This window comes from Homo sapiens, chromosome 16, assembly GCF_000001405.40.
Source record: "Homo sapiens chromosome 16, GRCh38.p14 Primary Assembly".
Classification (NCBI taxonomy): domain Eukaryota; kingdom Metazoa; phylum Chordata; class Mammalia; order Primates; family Hominidae; genus Homo; species Homo sapiens.
In genome coordinates, this window is record NC_000016.10 from 87,758,721 (window position 1) to 87,765,997 (window position 7,277).

At 49.7% G+C, this 7,277-nt stretch overlaps 1 protein-coding gene across 9 annotated transcripts in view, besides 3 other annotated features; it reads right to left on the minus strand.

Moving 5' to 3' along the window:
- KLHDC4 (kelch domain containing 4) overlaps positions 1–7,266 on the minus strand; it is a 67,841-nt gene extending 60,575 nt beyond the window's left edge. For 5 of the 9 annotated variants that reach the window (NR_147833.2, NM_001351938.2, NM_001184856.2 and 2 more), the window contains exons 1-2: positions 7,072–7,266; positions 3,229–3,320 (exon numbers count right to left, since the gene is read on the minus strand). Coding sequence is in view for 3 of the 9 variants with exons in the window: in NM_001184856.2 (NP_001171785.1) it covers positions 3,229–3,320; positions 7,072–7,170 (191 nt within the window). In the remaining 6 variants the exon portion in view is untranslated. Of the gene's footprint in view, positions 1–3,228; positions 3,321–6,345; positions 6,567–7,071 lie in introns of those variants that run through there. The other 4 variants (XM_047434252.1, NM_001184854.2, XM_047434253.1 and 1 more) reach the window with 4 other exon arrangements.
- Positions 3,652–3,721: an enhancer, noted in NCBI's record as "active region_11329". NCBI's record gives its function as "activates an Ori minimal core promoter by ATAC-STARR-seq in GM12878 lymphoblastoid cells {active_cell/tissue: GM12878}" and the evidence as "EXISTENCE:reporter gene assay evidence [ECO:0000049][PMID:35858748]".
- Positions 6,554–7,178: an enhancer, noted in NCBI's record as "H3K27ac-H3K4me1 hESC enhancer chr16:87798880-87799504 (GRCh37/hg19 assembly coordinates)". NCBI's record gives its function as "activates a minimal SCP1, AML or CMV promoter by ChIP-STARR-seq in naive H9 embryonic stem cells {active_cell/tissue: H9 hESC(naive)}" and the evidence as "EXISTENCE:reporter gene assay evidence [ECO:0000049][PMID:30033119]".
- Positions 7,162–7,221: an enhancer, noted in NCBI's record as "active region_11330". NCBI's record gives its function as "activates an Ori minimal core promoter by ATAC-STARR-seq in GM12878 lymphoblastoid cells {active_cell/tissue: GM12878}" and the evidence as "EXISTENCE:reporter gene assay evidence [ECO:0000049][PMID:35858748]".

Consider the following 7,277-nt stretch of genomic DNA (forward strand, 5'->3'; position numbering starts at 1 on the left):
CGTGTCACGCTGCATTCGAAGCTGTCCTGGGCCACCAGTTAGACAAGGTTGGTCTAGAGTTTCTATTTGGGGTGATAAAACAATGTTGCAACTGGTTAGTGCTAATGGTTGCACAGCGACATGAAGTAATTCCACTGAACTGCACAGTTTTAATGATTAAAATGGCAAATTTTGGCCAGGCGCATTGGCTCATGCCTGTAATCCCAGCACTTTCGGAGGCCGAGGCGGGCGGATCACCTGAGGTGGGGAGTTCGAGACCAGTCTGGCCAGCATGAGGAAACCCCATCTCTACTAAAAATACAAAATTAGCCAGGCATGGTGGCGCATGCCTGTAATCCCAGCTACTTGGGAGGCTGAGGAAGAATTGCTTGAACCTGGGAGGTGGAGGTTGCGGTGAGCCGATATCATACCATTGCACTCCAGCCTGGGCAACAAGAGCAAAACTCTGTCTCAAAAAAACCAAAACCAAACAAAAATAAAATAAAATGGCAAATTTTGTTAAACATTTTACCACAATAAAAAAAACTTTTTAGGTCGGGTGCAGTGGCTCACACCTGTAATCACAGCATTTTGGGAGGCCAAGGCAGTTGGATCATCTGAGGTCAGGAATTTGAGGCCAGCCTGACTCCAGAGGTTGCAGTGAGCTGAGATCGCGCCATAGCACTCCAGCCTGGGCAACAAAAGCAAAACTCCGTCTCAGAAAAGAAAAAAAGAAAAAAAAAAACTTTTTAAAAATAATAAATAGGCCGGGTACAGTGGCTCACGCCTGTAATCCCAGCACTTTGGGAGGCCGAGGTGGGTGGATCACCTAAGGTCGGGAGTTCAAGACCAGCCTGACCAACACGGAGAAACTCCGTCTCTACTAAAAATACAAAATTAGCCGGGCGTGGTGGTGCATGCCTATTGTCCCAGCTACTCCGGAGGCTGAGGCAGGAGAATCACTTGAACCTAGGAGGCTACAGTGAGCCGAGATCGTGCCATTGCACTCCAGCCTGGGCAACAAGAGCTACACTCCGTCTCAGAAAAAAAAATAAAGAGTGTTTCCCAAATTCCTCTGACCCTGAATCTTTTCTCACTGAATACCTATTGATTTTCTGCAGAAAAGCACCAAACACAACTTCAGAAACGATCTACACGGGGCCCAAACTGAGGTCCCCACCCAGCCACCAGCGGCACCAGCCCAGGTGTTGCCGCCGCACAGGCAGGTGAGGTACTGAGGCAGCTGGTGTCATGCCCCCATTTTCCAGGTAGGTCACATCAGAGCCAATCCTGACGATATGCTCATTTAGAAACTGGTCATTCTCACAAGGTTTTAAAGTAATATGATTAAGAAATAGGAAGTTGGAAGATATTAAGGTTACCAAGCAAAAGATCTTAATCTCAGGATAACTGCTCCCTCCTATTAGGAAGCATTTCCAGCTGACCCAGGGAACTGCCAACACCTTAAATTATATCCTGACATGAAATCTGACTTTCAGGCAACATTACTTATGGAAAAATTCTAAAATATCATTAAAAAAAAAAAAAAAGAAAAAGGCCAGGTACGGTGACTTGAGCCCAGGAACTCGAGACCAGCCTGGACAACATAAAAAAAAGTCTCTACAGGGCCGGGCACGGTGGCTCACGCCTGTAATCCTAGCACTCTGGGAGGCTGAGGCGGGCGGATCACGAGGTCAGAAGATCAAGACCATCCTGGCCAACATGGTGAAACCCCGTCTCTACTAAAAACACAAAAAATTAGCCAGGCTTGGTGGCGGGTGCCTGTAGTCCCAGCTACTTGGCAGGCTGAGGCAGGAGAATGGCGTGAACCCGGGAGGCAGAGCTTGCAGTGAACCAAGATGGCGCCACTGTACTCCAGCCTGGGTGACAGAGTGAGACTCCGTCCCAAAAAAAAAAAAAAAAAAAAGTCTCTACAAAAAAAATAAAACTAATCCCCATTCAAAGTGGCTTTCCTCAGGAGTGCTATATATCAGAAGCCTAAGATCAAGGATTTATTTGCTCCAATAACTCAAATGAAAATGTACATTTACAGCCAGGCACAGCGACTCACGCCTGTAATCCCAGCACTTTGGGAGGCCAAGGCAGGTGGATTACCTAAGGTCAGGAGTTCACGACCAGCCAGGCCAACATGGCAAAACCCCATCTCTACTAAAAATACAAAAATTAGCTGGGTATGGTGGCTGGCGCCTGTAATCCCAGCTACTTGGAAGGCTGAGGCAGGAGAATCACTTGAACCTGGGAGGCAGAGGTTGTAGTGAGCCAAGATCATGCCACTGTACTCCAGCCTGGATGACAGAGTGAGACTCCATCTCAAAAAGAAAAAAAAAAGTACATTTACCACATGTAACTTACATTTGGCCCTGAGGGCAACATGCAAACTAAAGGGAAAAAGAAAACTAAAATCCTAATGGACATGAAGTGAAAACCAGGAAGGACACTGGCCTTTGGGAGTGGCTCCAACACCACTCACTCTGCTCAGGGGCTGATCACCGTGCTCCTCCCACCTCTGGGCAGGTGATGATAACCCTGCCTCTGAGGCCGGTGGGTGGGACTCGGGCACCAGAGCCATCACATGCGCCTCATTAATGCAAACGCAGCACAATCGTGACCCTCCACTCCCGATGGGCTGAACCCCGGCTTCCACTAGGGCCTGCAGCAGCTTTATTAAAAGGGTAAATCCTGCAAGGTTAATCTCCTACTGAGGGAAATAAACCATTTCTCATTCCAGCTCATCCCACACGTGTATGAAATCCTACAGACTCGGAACGTTTTTACGTAATTTTCAAATCCATTTAAAATGGCTTATACTCAATTTATGTTTAACAAACTTTTCACATGAGAATTTGAAAGCATTACAAACACATCAAAAGGCCACAGTGATTTTCAGCTTTCTGCCTACAGTACGCACTTTTAAAATACCTTAAGAACCAAAGAAAAGCTCACTGGGGCAAAACTTTCATCCCCACGTCACGACCAGTGGAGGAGCTTTCAAAGTTGGCACCGGAGCCCAGAGGCAGCAGCTGTGCTGTAGGCCCTGCTCCCAGGTTCCATGACAGTAAAGCTTACAGCCTCATTCCAGTTCTTCAGCAGAAAGTGACCAAGAACAGGTTTTAATAATGAAAATGTCCCAAGTGCCTGGTCATTTACGAAACCTGGTGCTATTTAAAGCAGTTTTTCAATGTATAGAAGAAAAGGAAACATACAATATGAAAAATGCTACTTGCTCACCTTGGTGAGGGTGGGGGGCACGGAAGTTCCACAGTCTGAGTCCTCTTGGCATCGAGTGTCTGGAAATGGGCTATGAGCGCTTCCAGGTCTTCCTAGGGCAAGCAAGCAGGCACACGTGAGACTTATTCCCAGGACCCGCCGCGGAGCCACAGCCCGCTCAGCTTTCCTCCAATCAGTGTGATTCGACTGGGCTCAGTCACATCTGTGAATTGCAACATACTGTGCCTGTTTGAAATGCAGAGTTTGACACATTCGAAAGTAACCAGAGCTTGACCTCAAAGGCAGTCTGCTTAAAGGGTAGATGTGTGCACCAAGTATTATCTCCACACCCTTAACGCTCCCTCTGCAAGACCTTCCACTTAGACAAGCCCGTTGTGACTTCACTGCAGACACTCTCAGCACCTCTCATAACCCAGACTCGAGCCGTCGCACCTGCCAGCCTTCCTGTCTGCAGAGCAGTGTCTGACAAGAACTTCCACTTAGACAAGCCCATCGTGACTTCACTGCAGACACCCTCAGCACCTCTCAGAGCCCAGGCCTGGGCCGTCACGCCTGCCTGCCTTCCTGTCTGCTGAGCAGTGTCTGATATATTTCTCTTGCTTATTTGTTTCCTCCACCCCAACAAAATAATAAAATATGAGCTCCACCAGAGCAAGACTTGTGTCTAGTTAAAACACTGCCTGCACAGCAAGAGCTCAGCAAATACCAGCTGCAGTCTATCCAAGTAAGAAGGTCTCAACTTTTACTACCATCGAGAGTGACTCAAGGTACTGATGTGCCAGCACAGAGGGCAGCACTGGAACCCAGTGTTCCCGCCTCAGTCCCAGTGCCCATTTCCCAACATTTACGAGACACTCCCATGCACACCCGAGCCTGGCATTTCAAGTTCCTTCTAGCCTTCAGTGTCCTGCTTGCAACTACACACACCTGCAGACCATCTTCCCTCCCCCACACCCACCTCTCCAACCTCACCTCCCACCTGGCCTCACTCTCCAAGATACACCAGCGTCCTCTCCGTTCCTTCAATGAAAACGCCAGGTTCCCTCAGCCTGCCACGCCCCACCTCGTGCTTCCTTCAGTCTACCTCTCATCTCAGGGTGAATGTCAGCAGGGTACACTGCTTAGTATTCTAAACGATGCAATATTTAAAACACACAAGTTAACAGAACTTTATCCAAGACATTCCTGTATACGGTTCCCAGGGTAAGGAATAAAGTGTCACCCACATGTACCCACCCACACATTCCCTCAAGTAACCACTATCTGGAACTCGATGCTTATTAGTCTCACGCTTTTCTTCAATCTTTTATTACACATGTGTATCCCTAAGCAACATATAGTATTGTTTTACATTTTTAAATGTCATTAAATGGACTGGGCACAGTGGCTCACGCCTGTAATCCCCGAACTTTGGGAGGCCGAGGCAGGTGGATAATTTGAGGTCAGGAGTTCGAGACCAGCCTGACCAACACGGTGAAACCCCGTCTCTACTAAAAAATACAAAAATTAGCCGGCCACAGTGGCGCACACCTGTAGTCCCAAACTACTCGGGAGGCTGAGGCAGGAGAATTGCTTGAGCCTGGGAGGCAGAGGTTGCAATGAGCTGAGATCATGCCACTGCGACACTTGCTCTGGGTGACAGAGCAGGACTCCATCTCAAAAAAAATAAAAAATAAAATGTCATTAAATGGTATCATACTGTATATTCTTTCAACTTGCTTTTTTTGCTCAACGAGGTTAAACAAACAGTTCAAATACTAACGTCTATGTACCGCGAAAGCTTTGCTGCTGCTACTTAGAGCGGTCTTTGACCTTGGCTGAACCTCATCATCATTGGGTGACTGAAGGAGAGCAAGGTGGTAGGGTCTGGGTGACGCCAGTGGCCTAGCCAGTGACAGCCTCTCCAAAGTGACAATAAGCTGAATGCTGAAAAGACGACTCAGACGGAGTATGGTTGGGGTATAGGTAAGACCACAGACACAACTTGCCATGTTTGAGACACTAAAAGACACTGTGGCTGGAGTGAGCCCAGGGAGACAGCTGGAAAGACAGGCAGAGGCCAGGACTAAGTGAAGGTGCGAACCAGGTGACCTGATACATGAGTTCTGTGGGAGCAGAATTCCAAACTGTCCCCAATCCTTCCCCCAATAATTGCCAGGACTGTGAAAGAATGGGATACCACTCTTGTGATTAGGTTGTATTACAGACACAGCTGAATTTAAGAAAGAGATGATCCTCTGTGGGTCTAGCCTAATCAGACGCCCACTTATTTTAAAAGTTTGTTTTGAGGGTTCATTCAGATAACATACAAACCCCAGGCCTGACAGGCTCTCTCTCTTAAGGGAAGCTACTGTTACAATCACCTTAGTATTGGGTACTGGAGGGAGACATGGAGATGAGTAAAAATGACAGGTAACTGGCGGGGCAAGGTGGCTTACGGCTTGTAATCCCAGCACTTTGGGAGGCCGAGGCGAGCGCATCACCTGAGGTCAGGAGTCCCAGACCAGCCTGACCAAAACGGTGAAACCCGGTCTCTATTAAAAATACAAAATTAGCTGGGTGTGGTGGTGCATGCCTGTAATCTCAGCTACTTGGGAGGCTGAGGCAGGAGAACCACTTGAACCTGGGAGGCGGAGGTGCAGTGAGCTGAGATCGCACCATTGCACTCCACCCTGGGCAACAAGAGTGAAACTCCTTCAAAAAAAAAAAAAAAAAAAAAAAAAAAAAGCAGAAAGCAGCTAACAGCTGGTTACTGAGTGCTTACTTTCTGCCAAGCACCATTCTGAAGATACCACACAGATGAACTGACTTCCTGTGCCACAACCCTAGCCAGCAGGTCATGCCACTGCAGCCCAGCCTAGGTGACAGAGCAAGACTCTGTCAAAAAAAAAAAAAAAAAAAAGAAAGAGCCTAAGAGGAGTGTGAGGGAAAAGTCCAACTCCATTATTTAAGAGATGAGGACATGGAGAGATCAATGACTTAGGAAGAAAAGGGACAAAGGACTGTGGTCAAGAGCTCCTGATTCAGGACATCTGGTCACATCCCAGTTCCATACCACTTCATGGTTCACCTGTTGGTCTTCCTGTCAAATGGGAATACCAGTGCTACGGAACTGACCTGCTCGTGAGGAGTAAAGCCCAGGGAGCTGTGCCTGGCGCACGGCAGGCCATAAAACTGGCCCCGGTTAGGGAATCCATGAGCAGCAGCCGCAGAACACTCAACCCCAAGGTCAGGACGGATCCTCCTGCAGACCCCGGGCTGAGGACCAGAGGGAAGGAGACAACCGTGATGGCCGCCATCAGCTGCTACGGGATACCCCGTGGCTCCAGTGCCTTCTTCACTTAACCATCTGCTGCTCACTGCTCAGGGCTGCTGTGATGATTATTTGCCCTCTTTTGAAAGAAAAGTAAGGTTCAGAAAAGTTAAGAGTCTTACTCCCAGACCACACATCATGCAGAGGCAGCCCCCGGCTCAACCTCAGGTCTTCCTGTGCCAAACCCCTCCCTCTTCTCACCACCCAGCCTCCCTTCAGAGGGAGGGTGGAGGGAGAAGGGAGGAGGGGGAGGAAACGCAGAAAAACGCCCGTGACACCACACTAAGAAAAGCAAGCACGTTAAAGGGGGCAGCTCCGAGAAGCGGACAGACACACGTGGAGACTCAGGAGGGGGCGGGCCCCGTCTGGGCTGCCCGGACGCGGCGCCGGGGCAGTTCCTACGGCCTCCAGCTCTCCCGCAGGGCCGGCGCGGCTCCCACGGCCGACCCGTAACCCCGGGGGGCGCAGGGAGTCGGCCGAGGCTGCACGGCCGCGACGTCGGGCCGCTAAGCCCGGTCTGACCCGCTCACCTCCTCCTTCCGCGAGCGCTTAGACACCTTCTTCTCCATCTTGGCGGCCGTCTTCTCCGCGCCGCGGCCCTTCTTCTCCTTCTTGCCCTTCTTGCCCATCTTGCCGGGTCCCAAGCCGCGACGGGACACCAGGAAAGAAAACGGCCCGCGCTCTCCGCTCGGAAACAGGTGCTCGTGGGGCGGAGCTCGGCGCACAGAAATGGAGT